Raw genomic sequence first — 23,940 nt, 5'->3', positions numbered from 1 at the left:
ACACCAGGCTAATTTTTCTTTCTTTTTTTTTTTTTTTTTTTTTGTAGATAATAGGGTCTTACCATATTGCCCATGCTGGTGTCAAACTCCTGGGCTCAAGCAATCCTCCCACCTCAGCGTCCCGAGCAGCTGGGACCACAGGCACCCACCACCACGCCCGGCTTTTCTTTTTTTTTTTTTTTTGTAGATAATGGGGTCTTACCATATTGCCCATGCTGGTGTCAAACTCCTGGGCTCAAGCAATCCTCCCACCTCAGCGTCCCGAGCAGCTGGGACCACAGGCACCCACCACCACGCCCGGCTTTTCTTTTTTTTTTTTTTTTGTAGATAATGGGGTCTTACCATATTGCCCATGCTGGTGTCAAACTCCTGGGCTCAAGCAATCCTCCCACCTCAGCGTCCCGAGCAGCTGGGACCACAGGCACCCACCACCACGCCCGGCTTTTCTTTTTTTTTTTTTTTTTTGTAGATAATGGGGTCTTACCATATTGCCCATGCTGGTGTCAAACTCCTGGGCTCAAGCAATCCTCCCACCTCAGCGTCCCGAGCAGCTGGGACCACAGGCACCCACCACCACGCCCGGCTAATTTTTCTTTTCTTTTTTTTTTTTTTTTTTTGTAGATAATGGGGTCTTACCATATTGCCCATGCTGGTGTCAAACTCCTGGGCTCAAGCAATCCTCCCACCTCAGCGTCCCGAGTAGCTGGGACCACAGGCACCCACCACCATGCCACACTAAAATTTTTTTTTTGGGGGGGAGGGTAGAGAAGGGGTCTTACCATGTTGCCCAGGCTGGTGTCAAACTCCTGGGCTCAAGCGATCCTCCCACCTCAGCCTCCCGACATGTAAACGGTGGCTACATTTCCGCACAATCCCCGCGGTCTCCCTCATTCTGTTTTACAACTACTCCCACATAAAGTAACGTAGAAAGACGAGCCCCGTTATTCCCTTAGAAGGTAGACTGGAGCTTGCAGGAAGCTGTAGGATAAACATTCAGAGGCCAACTGAGATAAAACGAAACACCCAGGTGATTTTAAGCTAATCAAGAGCCCCTTTCACGTGGGTGATTTTAAACTAATCAAGAGCCTCTTTCACGCAGGTGATTTTAAACTAATCACGTTCTCCCTTCACAGAACTAAAAAGGGAGGTTAATTTACACAAACGCGCAGGCTACAGCCACCCGTCCTGCCTAGGGACTTCGGGCCAAAAATGCCACCTGTCACACCTCCAATCCAGGCGCTGCAGGGCTGTTAGGAGGGGAATTAGCAGCTGGGATACCCCGATCCTACAAGGAGGGGGGTTAGCAACCCCTCCTGAAATACCAAAAAGGCCTCGGCTTCCTGCAGACGCTTAAGGAACATGCCAATCACAACCGATTTCCTGAAAAACGCAAGAAATCCTGGTGAGGGCTGGGGTTGCAGGACGCTCTGCACACCACGGGTAACAGTTTTGGGGTAGCTTCTCTGAGACCGGCTGCCTCTTACTGTCCCCTGGACCAGGGGGGCGCCGCTCTCATCCTCCTGGCATCTCCCAGGCCCCTGCCCCACTCAGAGCTCCACCGCAGGGGCTCCCGAGGCTGGACTCAGACCCGCTGGATCCCATCCAGGCCCCCAAGGCAGCAGTGGAGACCCTCAAGGCTGGACTCCAGCCCCTAATGTAGACTCAGGGACCCCTGGGATGGATGGGTTCGAACCCCCAAAGCTGACTTCAGGACCCTCAGAGCTGGACTCCACCCTCCAAGGCAGCATTCGGGACCCTCACGGCTGGACTCGAGGCCCACGGCAGACATGAAGACCCCTGGGAGGCGTCCGGGACCCCCAGGACTGAATTTGAGGCCCCCAGGCAGACGTGGGGGCCCCTGGGCGGTGGTCAGGACGCCTGGGGCTGGACCCAACCCCCAAGGCAGACGAGGAGAACCCCCGGGCGGCATCCGGGCCCCCCAGGGCTGGACTCAAGCCCCCAAGGCTAGACGTGGGGACCCACCTGGGCGGCGACCGGGACCCCCAGAGCAGGTCTCAAGCCCCAAAGGCAGACGTGGGGGCTCCTCGGCGACGTCCAGGACCCCCAGGGCTGGACTCAAGCCCCCAAGGCTAGACACGGTGACTCCGGGGTGGCGTCCGAGACTCCCACGGGGGAACTCCAGTCTCCAAGGTAGACGTGAGGACCCCCGGGCGGCATCGGGGACCCCCAGGGCGGGACTCGAGCCCCCAAGGCAGACGCGGGGATGCCGAGGCGGCGTCCAGGACCCCCAGGGCGGGACTCGGGCCCCCAAGGCAGACGCGGGGACGCCGAGGCGGCGTCCAGGACCCCCATGGCTGGACTCGAGCCCCCAAAGCAGACATGGGGACCCCCTGGGTGGCGTCCGGGACCCTGAGAGCTGGACTCGAGCCCCCAGGGCAGACGTGGGGACTCCGGGGCAGCTTCCGGGGCCCCCACGGCGGCTCTCCAGGTTCCAGGGCAGACGTGGAGACCCCTGGGCGACGTCACGGACGCCCAGGGCGGGACTCGAGCCCCCAAGGCAGACGTAGGGACCCCTGGGCGCCGTTCTCGATCCCCGGGGCTGGAGTCAAGCCCCCGAGGCGGCGTTCCGGACTCTCGCAATCAGACTTGGACTCCACCCAGCGCGGAACGGGGTAGGACGGGAGCGAGGACGAGGTGAGTGAAGGCAGCGCTGCCGCCGCCGCCGCCGCCGCCGAGGCTCGGGGTCCTGGCGCCTACCGGGCCGGCGGCTGCACCGCGGGATGGGTCTGCCAGGAGCCGCCCACGCCGAACAAGAAGCGGCCCGGTCCCGCCTCCCCCGCCGGCAGCGCGTGCCAATCACCAGCACCTGATGCGGGGCGACCAATGAGGAGCACGCCCTGCCGGGGCGCGGCGCTAGGGAGCCCGCCCCGGCCGCACGCCAATCACCAGCACGTGACAAGGGATGACCAATGAGGATCACGCCCTATGCTGCGGAGAGGCGCTGGTGAGCACGCCCCAGCTGCACGCCAATCACTAGCACGTGACGCCGGATGACCAATGAGGAGCACGGCCTGTGCCGGGGAGAGGCGCTGGTGAGCCAGCCCCGGCCGCACGCCAATCACGAGCACGTGATGAGGAGCGGCCTGTGGGCAGCCCCCGCCCCAACGTTCAGCCTCCAGACGCGCCATGTGGGCCCTGCGGGCCGCCGTACGCCCGGGGCTGCGGCTCTCCCGCGTGGGCCGCGGCCGCTCGGCTCCGCGGGCAGCCGCGCCGTCCTGCCCCGCGCGCGCGCTAGCCGCTGTCGGCCGCAGGAGCCCCGGGAATCTGGAGGGGCCGTGGGGCGGAGGGCGGGGCCTGCGGGCGGACGGCGGCCGAAGCCGCACGGGAGACGACGAGGAGGAGCCGGAAGATGCGGACGAGAACGCCGAGGAGGAGCTGCTGCGGGGAGAGCCTCTGCTGCCGGCGGGGACCCAGCGCGTGTGTCTGGTTCACCCTGACGTCAAGTGGGGCCCGGGGAAGTCGCAGATGACTCGAGGTGACCGCGGCAGGGCTTTCGGGGGAGAAACAGGAGCTGGAGACCTGGGGGCGGGGCTCTGAGGGGAGGGGGCTCATAGGTGGAGATTCAGGGGCGGGGCTCTGAAGGGACGATCTCATAGGTGGAGATTCAGGGGCGGGGTTCTGTGGGGAGAATCTCATAGGTGGAGGCGCAAGGGCGGGGCTCTGCAGGAAGGATTTCATAGGTGGAGATTCAGGGGCGGGACTCGGGAGAATCATAGCTGGCGATGCAAGGGCGGGGCTCTGGGGAGGCTCATAGGTAGAGATTCAGGGACGGGGCTCTGACCTGAGAATCTCATAGGTGGAGACCCAGGGCGGGGCTTTGAGGGGAAGAGCTCAGGTGGCGACGTAGGGGCGGGGCTTCAGGGGGCCAGGCTCTAAGGAGAGGGTCTGATGGTTGGAGATGCCAGGGCGTGGCGCTGAGGGGCGGGGCTCTGAGGGGAAGAGCTTATGGATGGTGATGCGGGGGCGGGGCTCTGAAGGGAGGATCTCATAGGTGGAGGTGCATGGGTGGGGTTCGGGGGAGGAGCCCATGGGTGAAAGGGCGGGGCTTATGGGGAAGAGGGGAGGATATCATTGGTGGAGGTGCGTGGGCGGGGCTTCGGGGGAGGGGCCTATGGGGTAAAAGTGCGGGGGCGGAGCTTATGGGGTGGAGTCCGTGGGATGGGGTGGGGCCCGTGGGGTCCGTGGGGTGGGGTGGGGTGGGGTGGGGTGGGGTGGGGTTGGGTGGGCCGGGGCGGTTCTCGCCGATGGGACCTACGTTTCTCTTGCTCTGGGTTAGAGGTAGGCACGGTGTGTTTGAGGTCAGGGAAGGGAGGGCGTCCAGCGGACCAATCTGTGTCTAGTCCCACCCCCCACCCCCCAGGAGGAAATGCAAATGAATAAGTCGCTGCACGTGTCAGAGTCTCATAAAGGTTGATTTTTCCCTTGGAAGCTCCTGTAGTCGATGAGTGGTTTTTCTTTACGGGTGTTTTCCAAAATGGCTAATTCCTGGAACAGATGAAGCCCCGAACTGCTCAGAACAGCGCGCAGACCTCTTGCCTCTCTACTCCCCAAACCTGCCGGTGGTTCCTCAGTAATCCCCTGAGCACCCGCAGCTCCCGGGTTCCCTGCTGCGCCCGCCTGGAGCCCAAATTCCATGTAAGGCAGGGTCGCCCTCGTGTCCCGCTGTGGCTCCGGTGTCCTTCTCCCGTCAGATTCCTACTTAGAGGCCCTGGGGGGACGAAGTCATATCGGGGGACAAACGGCGGCTCAAGGTGCCTTCTCCGGGGAGATTGTCTCAAGGGCAGGAGGAGGCCTCCCCGGGCAGGTGTGGACGGGGGCCCCGGGCAGAAGCGTCTCTCACGGTGGCCCTTGTGTCCCCGCAGCCGAGTGGCAGGTGGCGGAGGCCACAGCGCTGGTGCACACGCTGGACGGCTGGTCCGTGGTGCAGACAATGGTCGTGTCCACCAAAACGCCGGACAGGAAGCTCATCTTTGGCAAAGGGAACTTTGAGCACCTGACAGGTGGGTCCGTCCAGACCTGCTCCTTCCCCAAACCTCCTTTCCTGTCCGCCGCTACCGAAAACATCCAACCGAGACATGCTGAAGTACGGGGGTCTTGCGGGGCCAGAGGGGAAGCGGCCTCTCGGATTGCCCAGGTGAGCTGGGAGCACACGCCAGTAGGAGTCGGAGGACGGTGAGGCTTTATCTGTGTCGAGATTCACACCGGGCCCTGGAGAGACTTAAACTGGTAAAGATTAGGTCGGGGCAGTTTATAGAGTCCAACAAACAGGGTAGGCGGTGGACCGGCTGTAACCCCACCTGCCCCTGCAGGCCCCAGCCAAATCCTCCTCCTGGGTGACCCCCACCCCACCAGCAGTCTCTTAGGGTGGGGTCCAGCATGCGATCCTTGCGCTTCCCAGGTTTCTGACCATCCCGCTTCCAGTAGAGTTGGGAAGACGCTACTCACTTGCCCAGGTGGGGGTCGGCTGCCCTGGGTCACCTGCCCAGGTGGGGGTCAGCTTTCCTGCCTGACTCAGATGCATCTCACCCCTGCTGGGATGTGTTCACCCTGTGTGTGTGTGTGTGTGTGTGTGTCCCCAATGGGATGTGTCCACGGTGCATGTGTGTGTGTGTCTGTCCCTGTCGGGATGTATTTACTGTGTGTGTGTCTGTGTGTGTGTCTGCGTGTGTATGTGTTTGTGTCCCTGCTGGGATGTGTTTACTGTGTTTGTGTGTGTCTCTGTGTATGTGTCTGTGTGTGTGTCTGTCCCTGTCGGGATGTATTTACTGTGTGTGTGTGTGTGTGTGTCTGCGTGTGTATGTGTTTGTGTCCCTGCCGGGATGTGTTTACTGTGTTTGTGTGTGTCTCTGTGTATGTGTCTGTGTGTGTGTCTGTCCCTGTCGGGATGTATTTACTGTGTGTGTGTGTGTGTGTCTGCGTGTGTATGTGTTTGTGTCCCTGCCGGGATGTGTTTACTGTGTTTGTGTGTGTCTCTGTGTATGTGTCTGTGTGTGTGTCTGTCCCTGTCGGGATGTATTTACTGTGTGTGTGTGTGTGTGTCTGCATGTGTATGTGTTTGTGTCCCTGCCGGGATGTGTTTACTGTGTGTGTGTGTGTGTGTCTGCGTGTGTATGTGTTTGTGTCCCTGCTGGGATGTGTTTACTGTGTTTGTGTGTGTCTCTGTGTATGTGTCTGTGTGTGTGTCTGTCCCTGTCGGGATGTATTTACTGTGTGTGTGTGTGTGTGTGTATGTGTTTGTGTCCCTGCCGGGATGTGTTTACTGTGTTTGTGTGTGTCTCTGTGTGTCTGTCTGTGTGTCTGTGTCTGTCCCTGTCGGGATGTATTTACTGTGTGTGTGTGTGTGTGTGTGTGTGTGTGTGTCTGCGTGTGTATGTGTTTGTGTCCCTGCCGGGATGTGTTCACCGTATGCATGTCTATGTCTTTGAGACACACACTCCTAGAGACACACCCCCTCCCACGCTGACTTCCTGGATCCCGGGTCTCGTGCTCAGGAAGTCGGGGATGCCTGTGAAGTGAGCTCTCCGCGGTGCATCCCACAAAGGGTATGGTGGGCTCATCCCACAGTCCACGGGTGTGGACGGCCAGCCTCTGACGGGACCCCCTCTTTCTGTTAGAAAAGATCCGAGGGTCTCCAGACATCACGTGCGTCTTCCTGAACGTGGAGAGGATGGCTGCCCCGACCAAGGTACCACAGGATGTGGCTTGCTGTGTTTGTCCCCGCACTCCACGCGATGAAGGAGGGGACGCCACGGCGTCCGGCCAGGCGGGGGACAGATGGGGACAGATGGGGACACGGTGGGGTTAAGGCATTAGAGACGTCCTCCTTCCTCTCACATTGGCCACCAGGGCCCGGCCTTCCCCCGTGGCTTCTCAGTTGCTCTCTCCTTTTGCAGAAAGAACTGGAAGCCGCCTGGGGCGTGGAGGTGTTTGACCGCTTCACGGTCGTCCTGCACATCTTCCGCTGTAACGCCCGCACGAAGGAGGCCCGGCTTCAGGTGGCCCTGGCGGAGATGCCGCTGCACAGGTATCGTGGGGCCCCTGGGCCGCGCCGAGCGTCACGTCCACTCCCGGAACCCCTCCGTTCTGTAGTCACCTGTAGGGCGTTCTGGGGGTGCGTGAGGAAGAAAAGCACCATGGGGGCCGGGCGCGGTGGCTCACGCCTGTCATCCCAGCACTTTGGGAGGCCGAGGTGGGCGGATCACGAGGTCACGAGATCGAGACCATCCTGGCCAACACGGTGAAACCCCGTCTGTACTAAAAATACAAGAAAAAAATTAGCCGGGCGTGGTGGCGGGCGCCTGAAATCCCAGCTACTCAGGAGGCTGAGGCAGGAGAATGGCGTGAACCCCAGAGGTGGAGCTTGCAGTGAGCCGAGATCACGCCACTGCACTCCAGCCTGGGTGACAGAGCGAGACTCCGTCTAAAAAAAAAAAAAAAGAAGAAAAGCACCGTGTGGGCTCTCTCTCCGGGGCCCGTTGCCCCCACTGCCTGCCCCCGGCTCCCCACTAGGCAGGTCCCCTCGGCCCGGGACACGCGTCACTCACAGTGTGTGAGCTACACGCGGAGCGGGGCCGCAACAGCGGCTCCTCCCTTCGGCCCAGAGGCCCAGCTCAGTGCCCCCTTCACCTTCACCTCGACCTCTGCCGGGAGGGAGACAGCGTCCGCAGAGACCGAGCCACTCCCGTTCCCACACCAGGTCGAACTTGAAAAGGGACGTCGCCCACCTGTACCGAGGAGTCGGCTCGCGCTACATCATGGGGTCAGGTAACTCGGGCCGGGCGCGGCGTCCCAGAGGGTCCTCGGAATGCGGTTGTCAGCGGCAGCCACCCTTCTCAGCCCTGGAAGATTCCAACAGGGTGGGGTCCAGCTGGGGTCTCCGTCTCCTGGTAGCATTTGAGGACATAGGAGACCCTCAGCCCTGGAAGATTCCAACAGGGTGGGGGCTGGCTGGGGGCTCCGTCTGGTAGCATTTGAGGAGATAGGAGATGCTGGTGGTTTTTGGAGGTTTTGCCTAAATCAGTAGCCACAAACTGGGGATTTAAACAGCAGAGATCTATGCTCTCCCCTCCTGGACACCAAAACTCTGAGATCAAGGTGAGGACAGGGCTGCGCTCCCTCCAGGGGCTCCTTCTGCCTCTCCCAGCTCCTGGGGGCTCCAGGCATCCCTGGGTTTGTGGCCGCGTCACTCCAGTCTCTGCCTCCGTCTCCACGTGGCCTCCTCCTCTGTGTCTGTGTCTCCTCTTCTGTCTCTTACAAGGACACATGTCATTGCATTTATGGCCCGCCCTAATCCAGAATCGTCGCATCTCTAGATACTTCAGTTATGACAAACACCTTATTTTCAAATAAGGTCCCATTGACCAGTTCTGGGAATTAGGATGTGGACAGATCTTTTAGGAGGACCACAGTTCAATCCGCTACACTTGTATCCACTTCCCTCTGGAGGCTCTAGGGCAGGGTCCTTCCTGCCTCTCCCAGCTCCTGGGGGCTCCAGGCGTCCCAGGCTTGTGGCCTCGTCACTCCGGTCTCTGCTTCTTAGAAGGACACAGGTCGTTGCCTTAGGGCCCACCCTAACCTAGGGTGATATTTTGAGACCCTACAAAGACCATATTTCCAAATCAGGTCCCATTCCCAGGTTCTGGGACTTCGGATGTGAAAGGGGCCCCACTGAGCCCGCTCACGATGACGTCCTGGGCCGTGTCCCGCTCGGAGGCCTCCGTAGTGATCTGGCCTTTACTTTCTCCCCGAGTCACGGGAAGCCCTCGTTGACCTCACAGGGTGGACACCCGGAGGCGAGATCCCGTTCCGCCGAGCAGAGCCCTTTCTCATGGAACAGGACGTGTCGGGGCCGCTGCTGGGGAAAGCAGCCGGGCCCCCAGATGCTGGAGCGGGAGCAGGCCCCGGGCCCCCGCAGACCCTCCGCGGCACCGCCCGCACTTGTGCCTTTCCCGGCGTGGCTCACCGCCTCACCATCTCGGGTGTCTTTTAGGAGAATCCTTCATGCAGCTGCAGCAGCGTCTCCTGAGAGAGAAGGAGGCCAAGATCAGGAAGGCCTTGGACAGGCTTCGCAAGAAGAGGCACCTGCTCCGCCGGCAGCGGACGAGGCGGGAGTTCCCCGTGATCTCCGTGGTGGGGTACACCAACTGCGGTGAGCACGCGCCCAGGGGAGGGGCCTTCCGCGGTCTCCGTGTCACCGGTGAGGACTCGCCCGGGGGAGGGCAGGGGGTCCCTGTCGTCTCAGTGGTGCCGTACGACAGCTGCGGTGAGCACGTGCCCAGGAGAGGGGGTTCCCATGGTCGCCGTGTGGGGTACACCAGCTGCTGTGAGAGCTCACCCAGGAGACGGGTTTCCTGTGGTCTCTGTGTGGGGTACAGCAGCCAAGGTGAGGATGTCATCTACCCCATCCTCCCATCCAGAGCTTTACCACCCTGTCTATACCACAATCTCCCCTCCATCTACACCATCCTCCTGTCTAGACCATCCCCACTGCCCTATCTATACCACCACCCTGTCTACACAATCCACCCATCTACACCATCACCTCTCCTCTGTCTATACCATCCTCCTGTCTACACCAGCACCACTACCCCATCTATACCACCACCCCGTCTACATAATCCACCCGTGTACACCACAATGTTCCCTTTGTCTGCACCGTCCTCCTGTCTACACTGGCACCACTGCCCCAGCTATACCACCACCCCGTCTACATAATCCACCCGTGTACACCACAATGTCCCCTTCGTCTGCACCGTCCTCCTGTCTACACTGGCACCACTGCCCCATCTATACCACCACCCGTCTATACAATCCACCCATCTGTCTACACCATCGCCTCTCCTCTGTCTACACCATCCTTCTGTCAACACCGGCACCACTGCCGTATCTATATCCACCCATCTACACCATCACCTCCCCTGTGTCTACACCATCCTCCCATCCACACCAGCACCACCACCCCACCTACACCATCCCACCATCTACGCCATTGCCAAATCTACACAGACGACCTCACTCCCATCCACGCCTTCACACGCACACCCGTCCACACCACCATCTCCCCCGTGTCCGCACGGCGGCCCCGCTCCATCGGCCCGAGAACAGCGACGGTGGCTTTGTCCCACGCGTCGGGTCTGGCCCGGGGTGCCCGAGGAGCTCAGGGACCGTGTAGCCCGGGGTGCGGCCCCCCAGAGGGTGCCGTGGTCTCCATTTGGAGGGCCTGGCTGCGGCGCTAGGAGTTGGGACGCAGGGATCTCTGCAGCGCCCTGACCTCCACGCCCTCCTAGGAAAGACCACGCTGATCAAGGCACTGACGGGCGATGCCGCCATCCAGCCACGGGACCAGCTGTTTGCCACGCTGGACGTCACGGCCCACGCGGGCACGCTGCCCTCACGCATGACCGTCCTGTACGTGGACACCATCGGCTTCCTCTCCCAGCTGCCGCACGGCCTCATCGAGTCCTTCTCCGCCACCCTGGAAGACGTGGCCCACTCGGTGAGCGTGGGACGGCCGGGGATCGGGTGCTCGGACACCCATTCGGCACGGGGGCTGGGCACTCAGACACACACAGCCAGGGGTCGGGCCCTCGGACACCCACTCAGCCCAGGGGCCGGGCCCTCGGACACCCACTCAGCCCAGGGGCCAGGCCCTCGGACACCCACTGGGCACGGGGACCAGGCACTCAGACACACACAAAGCCAGGGGCCGGGCCCTCAGACACCCACCCAACTCGGGGCCGGAACAACAACTGCCTCCTGGGGCTCAGACTTAGTGTCCCCCAAGCCTCCCACGTCCCCGGGCGAGAGGCTGAGCGGTTGCCCCAGCCTCACCGACACTCAGGGCCATGTTCTTGCCGCCGTGAGCCCGTGTAGAAATAGGAAGTCGGCCGTCAGTCCTCTCCCGGCTTATGTGCCTGAACACATAAGCGTGTTCCCGGGTGCACCTGCTCCACGTCACAGACCCCTGACAGACAGAGTGACCGTTCGTGTCACAGACGTGCGGGCAGTGGCGGACACAGCACGGTGATGCCTGAGGATCGATGAACACCGAGACCCTGGAAACACCTGTGGGGTCCTGAGGCTGTCACTGCAAAAGGGGCCACAAATGGGGGCCAGAAACCACAGGAACCAGCTCTACCACAGTTCCAGAAAGCGGGAGCTGACCACAGACTCTAGGGGAGGGTCCTTCCTGCCTCTCCCAGCTCCTGGGGGCTCCAGGCGTCCCTGGGCTTGAGGCCGCATCACTCCAGTCTCTGCCTCTGTCTGTGGCCTTCTCCTCTGTGTCTGTGTCTCCTCTTCTGTCTCTTAGAAGGACAGTAGTCATTAGATTTAGGGTCCACCCTAATCCAGGATGATCTCATTTCAGATCTTCCACTTAATCACATCTGCAGAGACCCTGTTTCCAAATAATGTCCCATTCACAGGTTCCAGATGATCAATACATGGACAGGTCTTTTGTGGGGGGCCACAGTTCAGTTCACTTCAGTTGGATCCAGTTCCTTCTGGAGGCTCTAGGGGAGGGTCCTTCCTGCCTCTCCCAGCTCCTGGGGGCTCCAGGCGTCCCTGGGCTTGTGGCCGCATCACTCCAGTCTCTGCCTCTGTCTGTGGCCTCCTCCTCTGTGTCTGTGTCTCCTCTTCTGTCTCTTAGAAGGACACCTGTCATTAGATTTAGGGTCCACCCTAATCCAGGATGATCTCATCTCCAGATCTTCCACTTAATCACATCTGCAGAGACCCTGTTTCCAAATAATGTCCCATTCACAGGTTCCAGATGATCAATACATGGACAGGTCTTTTGTGGGGGGCCACAGTTCAGTTCACTTCAGTTGGATCCAGTTCCTTCTGGAGGCTCTAGGGGAGGGTCCTTCCTGCCTCTCCCAGCTCCTGGGGGCTCCAGGCGTCCCTGGGCTTGTGGCCGCATCACTCCAGTCTCTGCCTCTGTCTGTGGCCTTCTTCTCTGTGTCTGTGTCTCCTCTTCTGTCTCTTAGAAGGACAGTAGTCATTAGATTTAGGGTCCACCCTAATCCAGGATGATCTCATTTCAGATCTTCCACTTAATCACATCTGCAGAGACCCTGTTTCCAAATAATGTCCCATTCACAGGTTCCAGATGATCAATACATGGACAGGTCTTTTGTGGGGGGCCACAGTTCAGTTCACTTCAGTTGGATCCAGTTCCTTCTGGAGGCTCTAGGTGAGGGTCCTTCCTGCCTCTCCCAGCTCCTGGGGGCTCCAGGCGTCCCTGGGCTTGTGGCCGCACCACTCCAGTCTCTGCCTCCATCTCCACGTGGCCTTCTCTGTGTCTGTGTCTCCTAGGACACCTGTCATTGCATTTAGGGGCCACCTAGATAAATCCAGGGTAACCTCATCTTAACTACATCTGCAAAAACTCCATTTCCAAGCAAGGTCCCCTTCTCTTCTGTGTCTGCCCCACATCTCTTTCTTTCTGTCGTAAACATACCGGTCGGTCGTTGGATTTAAGGCCCACTCTGCTCCACCCTGACCTCATCTTCACCAGCTGCATCCGCAGAGATCTTAATTCTGGGTAGGGTCCCATTCTGAGGCTGCTGGTGGATGTGGATTTGGGGGCGGGGTGCTGTTTGGCTCCGGAACTGCCCCCGGCCGTAGGGTGCTGAGTGAGCTGCACACTCCATCCGTACCGTAGACTTTCCAAGTGCATGAAGAGCACGGGGAAATATTGTCAAGCAACAAGGCAGGAAAACAAGGTGTGAGATTGTCACATTCAGGCTACGGCTTTGTTTTTTGCCCTGAGGGAGAAGCAGCAAATGTCCCAAAGAACGGACGCGGCTGCCACCTCCTTGAGGAGATGGGACTGAACCCCGCCCGGAGCCTGGACTCCGCTTTCGACTCCTCCCGACAATAAATTATGGACCGGGTGTGGTGGCTCACGCCTGCAATCCCAGCACTTTGGGAGGTTGAGGCGGGTGGATCACTTCAGGTCAGGAGATCGAGACCACGGCGAAATCCCGTCTCTACTAAAAATATAAAAAATTAGCCAGGCATGGTGGCGGGTGCCTGTAGTCCCAGCTACTCAAGAGAGGCTGAGGCAGGAGAATGGCTGAACCCGGGAGGCGGAGCTTGCAGTGAGCTGAGATCGCGCCACTGCACTCCAGCCTGTGTGACAGAGCGAGACTCGTCTCAAAAAAAAAAAAAAAAAAAAAGTAAAACTTTCCTGGGATGAAATTATTTTTTTTGTTTTTACTTTTCTTCTTTAGAGACAGGGTCTCGCTCTGTCACCCAGACTGAACCGCAGTGGTATGATCTCGGCTCACTGCAGCCTCGACCTCCTGGGCTCAAGTGATCCTCCCACCTCAGCCTCCTGAGTAGCTGAGACCACAGACACGCACAACCAGGCCATGGCTAATTTTTGTACTTTCTGTAGAAACGGCCTCACTCTCTTGCCCAGGCTGGTCTCAAACTTCTGGGCTCAAGCCACCTCCCAAAGTGCCTCAGTTACAGGAAAAATATTATTTGTATTAAGTGCATCCAAACAAACAAAAAGTAGACGTGGATACCCCGGTAGTATAAGTTGGAGAATTACACACGGCTTTATTTTTTTTTCCCTGTGTTTTTCAAATTTTGTGTAAGGAGCCTGCCTGTAAGATTTTTTTTGAACGTGAGAAAAAAAGCATCCTTTAAAGAGGAAATAATTCCGCTGTTAAAAGACATTTCACAGGAGGATGAAGCCGCCCTAAAGCTTTGAATGAAGACCCCCTGGGTGGGTGGGTGGTGGTTGGGTGCTCATATATGGCACCCCCTTGCGTGTGGGTCTGGGGGTGCGGAGCTGCTGCCTGTGGCTTGGAAGGTTGGGTAAGTGCAGCCGGGTGGGCTCGCGTCCACTGTTGGTCTAGGAGCCCCCGTCCTGGGGTGTCCGAGGGGCCTGCACACAGGCGTACCTCCCATGCCCAGCCTGTCGTTGGGAGCTCGTGTGAGCCCCTCTCCTGGGCCTGTCTGCAAGCTTGGGGTCAGGGACCAGAGGCTCCGCAGCTCTGACCCCACGGCCCGGCCCACAGGATCTCATCTTGCACGTGAGGGACGTCAGCCACCCCGAGGCGGAGCTCCAGAAATGCAGCGTTCTGTCCACGCTGCGTGGCCTGCAGCTGCCCGCCCCGCTCCTGGACTCCATGGTGGAGGTTCACAACAAGGTGGACCTCGTGCCCGGGTGAGTCCGGCCCTGGGGTCCGCAAGCGTCTCCTTCCCCTGCACGCGCTGGAGCCGGGTGGGGAGATGCCCCGTCTCCTCGTGTGAACCGCAGCGGTGGCAGTCAGGACACAGGGAGTGGCCCCAGACTGTGCCCCGTGGGCAGTGGACTCCTGGGGACCCTGATTTCGTCCGGCCGCCCCGACGCTGAGCGGGGCCTGTGACATCCCCACCCTTGCAGGTACAGCCCCACGGAACCGAACGTCGTGCCCGTGTCTGCCCTGCGGGGCCACGGGCTCCAGGAGCTGAAAGCTGAGCTCGATGCGGCGGTTTTGAAGGCGACGGGGAGACAGATCCTCACTCTCCGTGTGAGGCTCGCAGGGGCGCAGCTCAGGTGAGCGGCCTGCAGGGGCAGGAGACGGGATGGTGCTTTGGATGCCTGTCTCTGGCTCTGAAACGGGCTCTTCGTGGGTGCACAAGGAGCTGTGAGATCCCCGAGAGCTTTAGGATGTACAGACGAGATGAATGGGTTTGCATCAAATGTACATTTGTGACTGTGCATACAAGAGGTGCCTAATCTGCGCTTGAGAGTCAAAATCTACATTTGTGACTGTGCATACAACAGGTGCCTAATCTGTGCTGACAGTCAAAATGTACATTTCTGACTGCATACAACGGGTGCCTAATCTGTGCTTGACAGTAAAAATACATTTCTGACTGCATACAACAGTTGCCTAATCTGTGCTTGACAGTCAAAATGTACATTTCTGACTGCATACAACAGGTGCCTAATCTGTGCTGACAGTCAAAATGTACATTTCTGACTGCATACAACAGGTGCCTAATCTGTGCTGACAGTCAAAATGTACATTTCTGACTGCATACAACAGGTGCCTAATCTGTGCTGACACTCAAAATATACATTTCTGACTGTGGATACAACAGGTGCCTAATTATGCTGACAGTGAAAATGTACATTTCTGACCATACAACAGGTGCCTAATCTGTGCTTGACAGCCAAAATGTACATTTCTGTGCATACAACAGGTGCCTAATCTGCACTGACAGTCAAAATGTACATTTCTGACTGCATACAACAGGTGCCTAATCTGTGCTGACAGTCAAAATGTACATTTCTGACTGCATACAACAGGTGCCTAATCTGTGCTTGACAGTAAAAATACATTTCTGACTGCATACAACAGTTGCCTAATCTGTGCTGACAAAATGTACATTTCTGACTGTGCATACAACAGGTGCCTAATGTGTGCTGACACTCAATGTACATTTCTGACTGTGGATACAACAGGTGCCTAATTATGCTGACAGTGAAAATGTACATTTCTGACCATACAACAGGTGCCTAATCTGTGCTTGACAGCCAAAATGTACATTTCTGTGCATACAACAGGTGCCTAATCTGCACTGACAGTCAAAATGTACATTTCTGACTGTGCATACAACAGGTGCCTAATCTGTGCTGACAGTCAAAATGTACATTTCTGACTGCATACAACAGGTGCCTAATCTGCGCTTGACAGTCAAAATGTACATTTCTGACTGCATACAACAGGTGCCTAATCTGCACTTGACAGTCAAAATACATTTCTGACTGTGCGCACAACAGGTGCCTAATCTGTGCTGCCAGTCAAGGGGTACAGGTCTCCCTACCAATAAGAAAGCAAGCTCCAGCTGGATGCCGTGGCACAGGCCTGTAACCCCAAGACTTTGGGAGGCCGAGGCAGGAGGATTGCTTGAGCTGAGAGGAGTTTGAGGCCAGGCTGGGCAACATGGTGAGACCCCATCTCTACAAAGAATAAAAAGTTACCACCCCAGGTGGGGTGGCTCACACCTGTAATCCCAACACGTTGGGAGGCCGAGGTGGGCGGACCACAAGGTCAGGAGATCGAGACCAGCCTGGCTAACACGGTGAAACCCCGTCTCTAATAAAAATACAAAAAATTAGCCGGGCGCAGTGGCGGGCACCTGTAGTCCCAGCTACTCGGGAGGCTAAGGCCGGAGAATTGCTGGAACCCAGGAGGCCGAGGTTGCAGTGAGCCAAGATCGTGCCACTGCACCCCAGCCTGGCGACAGAGCGAGACTCTGTCTCAAAAAAAAAAATAAAAAATAAAAAGCCGGGCGCAGTGGCTCATGCCTGTCATCCCAGCACTTTGGGAGGCCGAGGCGGGTGGATCACGAAGTCAGGAGATCGAGACCATCCTGGCTAACACGGTGAAACCCCGTCTCTACTAAAAACACAAAAAATTAGCCAGGTGTGGTGGCATGCACCTGTAGTCCCAGCTACTCGGGAGGCTGAGGCAGGAGAATCACTTGAACCCGGGAGGTGGAGCTTGCAGTGAGCTGAGATCGCGCCACTGCACTCCAGCCTACGCGACAGAGTGAGACTCCGTCTCAAAAAAAAAAAAAAACAAAAGGAAACAGGACGGTCTGATGAATGGTTTGAGCTAAGCTCTTTTTAGCGTAATTATTTATCATGAAACTAAGCAAATACTTACGGGTTCTGCTTGTCTCCATACAACGCGCATCTGTGCCCAGCTGGCTGTATAAGGAGGCCACAGTTCAGGAGGTGGACGTGATCCCTGAGGACGGGGCGGCCGACGTGAGGGTCATCATCAGCAACTCAGCCTACGGCAAATTCCGGAAGCTCTTTCCAGGATGAACGGACGCCCACAGAGGCCTGCGGGGTGGGGGCATCGCTGCCTGGGGAGCTGAGGCGTTACCGCTGTGTTGGGGGCAGCTTGGTGTCAGGTGCAGCAGGGTCCTCCTTGTCTGGTTCTGCACCCGTCTCGCTCCCAGCCATTTGCTGGGATGACCGTGCAGGCCGGTGACACGGCCGCACCTGCCCCAAAGCGGGCCGCCCGAGCGTCCACTCCAAGCCTGAGCATCCACACAATTCCAGTGGGCCCTCGGTGCCTGCTGTGAACTGCTTTCCCTCGGAATGTTTCCGTAACAGGACATTAAACCTTTGATTTTACTTCCGTGAGCAGCATTTCCAGTTCCTCCTGCACCTGCCGTGAGCCGTGGCCCTGGTGGGCACCGACGGCCCCTCCGCCCGGCTGTCTGTGTTCACAGATGGTCTCGTTTCCCATGGTGGTGTCGGGGAAATGACGAAAAATCAGGTTTCCCGGCAGCACAGAGAACCCTTCCACAAAAGTAGAAGGGAAAGCAAATAGTTTTACTAAAGAAGCAGCTTCAAACCAGACCGTGAGGACGGGCACGGTGGCTCACGCCTGTAATCCCAGCACTTTGAGAGGCTGAGGTGGGTGGATCACGAGGTCAGGAGATCCAGACCATCCTGGCTAACATGGTGAAACCCCACCTCTGCTAAAAATACAAAAAATTAGCCGGGGGTGGTGGCGGGCGCCTGTAGTCCCAGCTACTCGGGAGGCTGAGGCAGGAGGATGGCATGAACCCGGGAGGCGGAGGTTGCAGTGAGCCAAGATCGCGCCACTGCACTCCAGCCTGGAAGACAGAGCGAGACTCCGTCTCAAAACAAACAAACCAGACGGTGATGTGTCACAGACCATCCACTAAGAGATGCAGAGAGAGAATTTCACCTGCGTGTGGCCAGGCTGTGCAGCCGTTACACGCACATTAGCCGTCTCCATCAACGGGAAAACAAAATGCCTTGTATGTTTTGAGACAGAATCTCGCTCTGTCACCCAGGCTGGAGTACAGTGGTGCGATCTCAGTTCACTGCAACCTCTGCCTCTTGAGTTCAGACAGTTCTCCTGCCTCAACCTCCCAAGTAGCTGGGATTACAGGCGCCCGCCACCACGCCCGGCTAATTTTTTGCATTTTTAGTAGAGATGGGTTTTCAGCATGTCGGTCAGGCTGGTCTCAAACTCCTGACCTCAGGTGATCCACCCAACTCGGCCTCCCAAAGTGCTGGGATTACAGGCGGAGCCACTGTGCCCGGCCTGAATTAACTTTTTTTTTTTTTTTTAGACGGAATGAGTGTCACTCTGTCATCCAGGCTGGAGTGCAGTGGTGCAGTCTCGGCTCACTGCAAGCTCCGCCTCCCGGGTTCACACCATTCTCCTGCCTCAGCCTCTTGAGTAGCTGGGACTACAGGCCCCCACCACCATGCCTGGCTAATTTTTTATATTTTTAGTATTCTTATATATTTATAATTTATATATTATTTTTGTATATTTAGTAATTTTTTGTATTTTCACCATGTCGGTCAGGCTGGTCTCGAACTCTTGACCTTGTGATCCGCCCACCTCGGCCTCCCAAAGTGCTGGGATTACAGGCGTGAGCCACCGCACCCGGCCTCCTGAATTAACATTTTCTAAAGATGCTTCTGGCGTGCTATCCTGAAAGCTGCCAGAGGTGTCTTGGCTGCATTGGTGGTAATAAAATTCATACTCATATTTGACTTTAATGATGTTCATTTATTTAAACGATCTGTATGAATTCGGTGATTTTGTGGATACGCCCCTGACAGACAAGGATTCACAGCCGACGGAAGTCAGGGAGGCTCCCTGCAAATTCTTCATCTCCGCGGGGCCTGCCCGAGCCCTGATCCTGCAGAGCCGTGGGGCTGAGGTAGCCGCCGGTTGTGGTCCAGGAGTGCGTCTTTCTGGATGCGGGGCACCTTCATTTCACCGTAGCAACCGGGTACCAAAAGTAGAAGCGGATTTTTGGAAAATGAGTCATTAGGTCCCAAAGAGAACCTATTGCAACATGGACTCCATAACGTTCTTGAGGATCATCCTGAGAAACTGATGTCTCTCGTTAGACAAAAATGCACGATTTGCTTGGGAAAGGGGAGTAAAAATGGTGCTGGCATCCATTGGCTGGCTGGGAACTTGAACCAGCAGCTCCAACAAGCGACATGTAGAAAATGAGGTATAGGCCGGGCGCGGTGGCTCACGCCTGTCATCCCAGCACTTTGGGAGGCCGAGGCGGGTGGATCACCTGAGGTCAGGAGATCGAGACCAGCCTGGCCAACATGGTGAAACCCCGTCTCTGCTAAACACACAAAAATTATCCGGGCGTGGTGGCGGGCGCCTGCAATCCCAGCTACTTGGGAGGCTGAGGCAGGAGAATTTGCTGGAACCCGGGAGGTGGAGGTTGCAGTGAGCCAGGATCACACTACTACACTCCAGCCTCGGCAACGAGAGCGAAACTCCGTCTCAAAACATAAATAAAAATACAAATACAAAATTAACCAGGCACGGTGGCACGCGCCTGTAATCTCAGCTCCTCGGGAGGCTGAGGCAGGAGAATCACTTGAACCCGGGAGGCAGAGGTTGCAGTGAGCTGAGATCGTGCCATTGCACTCCAGCCTGAACAACAAGAGGGAAAATCCATCTCAAAAAAACAAAAAAAAGTATTTGCAGGATCTGCGTCTGAAACTAGGACCGTTCACGCTTCAGAGGCAGAAAGAAACCTGTGCAGAAAACCGGTGTGCGAGTCTCCCACACGGACTGGGGGCGCCTTCCGTGGGGGGGGGGTCTCCCTTGTACCTGTAGGACTTTAATTCACGGAGGTGACCGGGACTAGCACAGAGAGGCCACTGAAAGAAGAAATTACTCCTGACCCTTCCCGAGAGAAGACGCTGCCACACCACGCAGGGCACAAGCGGATACCTGGGTTTGGCTCGGGAGGCAGGAATGAATGAGGGAACAGCCCAGGCCACAGCCTTCAAGGGGCTTCGGCAGAACCGGGCAACAGGACTAGGGAACGGCTGAGGATTGACAACTTTTGAACACTTCAGTAGCACTCCGGGCTGGGGGGCTGGCTCTACTGGGCTGGGACCCAGCCAGGAATGATTTAGGGCCAGGGAAATACTGGCTTGAGGCCAGGTGCGGTGGCTCACGCCTGTGATCCCAGCACTTTGGGAGGCCAATGCGGATGGATCACCTGAGGTCGGGAGTTCAAGACCAGCCTGGGCAACATGGTGAAACCCCATCTCTGCTAAAAATACAAAAGTTAGCCAGGCGCGGTGGCGGGCGCCTGTAATCCCAGCTACTCAGGAGGCTGAGGCACAAGAATTGCTTGAACCTGGGAGGCAGAGGTTGCAGTGAGCTGAGACTGCGCCACTGCACTCCAGCCTGGGCGACAGAGCGAGACTCCATCTCAAACATAATACTCCTCCTACTACTACTAAATAATTAGCTGGGCATGGTGGTGTACACCTATACTCCCAGTTACTTGGGAAGCTGAGGCGGGAGAATTGCTTCAGCCCAGGCGTTGAAGGTTACAGTGAGCTATGACTGTGCCCCTACTACACACCAGCCTGAGCAACAGAGCCAGACCCCATCTCTACAAAAAAAATTAGCTGTGGGTGTGGTGGCTGACACCTGAGGTCCTGGCTATGGCAGAGGTTGAGGTGGGAGGATCAGTTGAGCCCAGGAGTTTGAGACCACCCTGGACAACATAGCCAGACCACGTCTCTACAAAAAAATAAAATTACCTGGGCATGGTGGTGCCTGCCTGTGATCCTGGCCACTCTGGAAGCTAAGGTGGGAGGATCACTGGAGCCCAGGAATTTGAGACCAGACTGTGCCATGTGGTGAAACCCTGACTCTACCAAAAATACAAAAATTAGCCAGCAGTGGGGGTGTGTCCCTGGAGCCCCAGCTACACGGGAGGCTGAGCTGAGAGGATCGCTTGAGCCCAGGAGGTTGAGGCTGCAGTGAGCTATGACTGTACCACTGCCCTCCAGCCTGGGTGACAGAAAAAGACCCTGTCCCTAAACATAATTTAAAGAAATATCGGCGGCTGGGCACAGTGGCTCATGCCTGTCATCCCAGCACTTTGGGAGGTCGAGGCGGGCAGATCACCTGAGGTCAGAAGTTTGAGAACGGCCTGACCAACGCGGAGAAACCCCGTCTCTACTAAATATATGAAATTAGTCGGGTGTGGTGGCACATGCCTGTCATCCCAGCTACTCGGGAGGCGGAGGCAGGAGAATTGCTTGAACCAGGGAGGCGGAGGTTGCGGTGAGCCGAGATCTCGCCGTTGCACTCCAGCCTGGGTGACAGAGTGAGACTCCTCAAAAAATATATATATACACATATATATATATACACATACACACGCACGTATATATGTATACGTGTGTATATACACGCATACACACATATACATGTATACATACACGTATACACGCATACACACATATACATGTATAAACACATATACATGTACACATACACATATACATGCATACACATATACATGTATGCATACACGTATACACATATGCACACATATACATATATACACACATACACACATATACACACACACACACACATATACACATGTATAAACATACATACATATATACACACCGATATATACACATATATACACACAGACACATAAACACACATATATACACACACATATATATCTATAGGCTTGGTGTGAGAACTAGCTGAGGGGTTGGCTGACAGGGGAGGCCGGCTCCTAAGTGGGCTGTCACTGTGTTTAGTAATTAGTGAGCTGTGGGAGGATAGTGTCTCCCTGGGTCTGTAAGGGCTCCAGACGCCACAGCAAGGAGAATACAGAAATAAGAAAACATATTATGGGCTGCCATGGTGGTTCTTGACTGTCATCCCAGCACTCTGGGAGGCTGAGGTGGGAGGATCACTTGAGGCCAGGAGTTCAAGACCAACCTGGCCAACATAGAGAGACCCCATCTTTTTTTTTTTTTTTTTTTTTGAGATGGAGTCTCGCTCTGTCGCCCAGGCTGGAGTGCAGTGGCACGATCTCAGCTCAATGCAACCTCCACCTCCCGGGTTCACGCCATTCTCCTGCCTCAGCCTCCTGAGTAGCTGGCACTACAGGTGCCCATCACGCACCCAGGTAGTTTTTGTGTTTTTAATAGAGACGGGGTTTCACCATGTTGGTCAGGCTGGTCTCGAACTCCTGACCTCATGTTCCACCCGCCTTCGCCTCCCAAAGTGCTGGGATGACAGGCGTGAGTCACTGCACACTCGGCTGTTTTTTTTTCTTTTGAGATGGAGTCTCGGTCTATCATTCAGACTGGAGTGCAGTGGCACGATGTCAGCTCAATGCAACCTCCATCTCCCGGCTTCAAGCAGTTCTCCTGCCTGAGCCTCCCGAGTAACTGGGACTACAGGCGCCTGCCACACACCCAGCTAAGTTTTGTATTTTTAGTAGAGATGGGATTTCACCATGTTGGTCAGGCTGCTCTCAAGCTCCTGACCTCATGATCCACCCACCTCGGCCTCCCAAAGTGCTGGGAAGACAGGCGAAGTCACCACGCCCAGCCACCCCATCTCTATTTTAAAGAAAATGAAAACGTATTATCATCGGTCCTATGATCACCAACATTTGGCCCAAACAAAGTCACAATACTTGGAAATTCGGGGGTGAAACTGCAGCCGCCGCGTCCCGAACTTCAGAAGGGTCCCGTCAGCACCACAGCAGCTTCTGATTGAGCGCGATGACGTCACTGACGAAGCCGTCTGCGCCGATGAAGTCCCCCGCGATGATGTTGGTGCACCGTGAACCCGGCCCCGGGCACTGCTCTCGGACCCACGCGCTCAGCCGCGGAAGGTTGGGCAGCGTCATCTTCTCCAGGGACTCGGACGGGTGCGCCAGAACGTACTGCAGGTTCTCCGTGAGGTTGATGCCGGCCACGAACAACCCTCCTGCAACGGTGAGGGTGGGGAGAGGTTACACGGTCACGGGCCTCACCCGCCTGTTTCTCCCTCCTAGTCACATTATTAGAGGTTCGCATCTCAGGAATTAAGAGTTGAAAGCACCATGTCCAACAAGGAAATTGGGTGAGCTTTGCTTATAAAGCGTGGTGGGCAGTAGACAACCCCAAAGATGCTCACGTCGTAACACCGTGTGGGAGACAGAATAATGTCCCCAAAGATGTCCACATCCTAATCCCCATGTGATAGACAGAATAATGGCCCCAAAGATGTCCACGTCCTAATCCCCATGTGATAGACAGAATAATGTCCCCAAAGATGTCCACGTCCTAATCCCCATGTGATAGACAGGATAATGGCCCCAAAGATGTCCACGTCCTGATCCCCATGTGATAGACAGAATAATGTCCCCAAAGATGTCCACGTCCTAATCCCCATGTGGGAGACAGAATAATGTCCCCAAAGATGTCCACGTCGTAATCCCCATGTGATAGACAGAATAATGGCCCCAAAGATGTCCACGTCCTAATCCCCATGTGATAGACAGAATAATGTCCCCAAAGATGTCCACGTCCTAATCCCCATGTGGGAGACAGAATAATGTCCCCAAAGATGTCCACGTCCTAATCCCCATGTGATAGACAGAATAATGTCCCCAAAGATGTCCACGTCCTAATCCCCATGTGATAGACAGAATAATGTCCCCAAAGATGTCCACGTCCTAATCCCCATGTGATAGACAGAATAATGGCCCCAAAGATGTCCACGTCCTAATCCCCATGTGGGAGACAGAATAATGTCCCCAAAGATGTCCACGTCCTAATCCCCATGTGATAGACAGAATAATGTCCCCAAAGATGTCCACGTCCTAATCCCCATGTGGGAGACAGAATAATGTCCCCAAAGATGTCCACGTCCTAATCCCCATGTGATAGACAGAATAATGTCCCCAAAGATGTCCACGTCCTAATCCCCATGTGATAGACAGAATAATGTCCCCAAAGATGTCCACGTCCTAATCCCCATGTGATAGACAGAATAATGTCCCCAAAGATGTCCACGTCCTAATCCCCATGTGGGAGACAGAATAATG

General features: G+C 56.4%; 2 protein-coding genes and 1 long non-coding RNA gene across 18 annotated transcripts in view; 1 reads left to right on the top strand and 2 right to left on the bottom strand.

Annotated features, from left to right (window-relative positions):
• Nucleotides 603–2,790, bottom strand: LINC00685 (long intergenic non-protein coding RNA 685). 2 transcript variants are annotated; one of them, NR_027231.1, is given in 2 exon segments: nt 603–1,727; nt 2,384–2,790. It is a non-coding gene; the product is annotated as a long intergenic non-protein coding RNA 685 (long non-coding RNA).
• GTPBP6 (GTP binding protein 6 (putative)) lies at nt 3,139–17,176 on the top strand. Of its 5 annotated transcripts, none has more exons than XM_047442761.1 (11): nt 3,139–3,496; nt 4,516–4,656; nt 4,884–5,021; nt 6,636–6,706; nt 6,915–7,045; nt 7,718–7,785; nt 9,011–9,403; nt 10,308–10,516; nt 14,055–14,203; nt 14,423–14,575; nt 16,738–17,176. In XM_047442761.1, exons 3-11 carry the CDS (start codon nt 4,952–4,954, stop codon nt 16,859–16,861), a joined length of 1,368 nt encoding a protein of 455 aa, XP_047298717.1. In that variant the 5' UTR covers nt 3,139–3,496; nt 4,516–4,656; nt 4,884–4,951; the 3' UTR covers nt 16,862–17,176. The 5 variants fall into 5 exon arrangements, with proteins under 5 accessions (XP_047298717.1, XP_047298716.1, NP_036359.3 ...); XM_047442760.1 differs by having other exon boundaries at nt 4,451–4,656; NM_012227.4 differs by lacking the exon at nt 4,516–4,656 and having other exon boundaries at nt 9,011–9,169.
• Nucleotides 18,579–23,940, bottom strand: part of PLCXD1 (phosphatidylinositol specific phospholipase C X domain containing 1) — a 27,001-nt gene continuing 21,639 nt past the window's right edge. For 9 of the 11 annotated variants that reach the window (NM_001370370.1, NM_001370372.1, NM_001370371.1 and 6 more), the window contains one exon: nt 18,579–22,838. In NM_001370370.1, coding sequence (NP_001357299.1) covers nt 22,600–22,838 — 239 coding nt within the window. In that variant the 3' untranslated portion in view covers nt 18,579–22,599. The remainder of the gene's footprint in view (nt 22,839–23,940) is intronic. The other 2 variants (NR_028057.2, NR_163416.1) reach the window with 2 other exon arrangements.

This window comes from Homo sapiens, chromosome Y (assembly GCF_000001405.40).
Source record: "Homo sapiens chromosome Y, GRCh38.p14 Primary Assembly".
Lineage (NCBI taxonomy): Eukaryota > Metazoa > Chordata > Mammalia > Primates > Hominidae > Homo > Homo sapiens.
Note: the sequence above shows the minus strand (reverse complement) of the source record. Positions and strands in the feature narration are given on the sequence as shown.

Bases quoted from the DNA above. Each gene is read 5' to 3' on its own strand.
- GTPBP6 (XM_047442759.1), top strand. From the start codon at position 3,148: ATGTGGGCCCTGCGGGCCGCCGTACGCCCGGGGCTGCGGCTCTCCCGC. The intron at 3,497-4,883 runs GTGACCGCGGCA...GTGTCCCCGCAG, and splicing joins GAAGTCGCAGATGACTCGAG to CCGAGTGGCAGGTGGCGGAG. The intron at 10,517-14,054 runs GTGAGCGTGGGA...CCCGGCCCACAG, and splicing joins TGGAAGACGTGGCCCACTCG to GATCTCATCTTGCACGTGAG.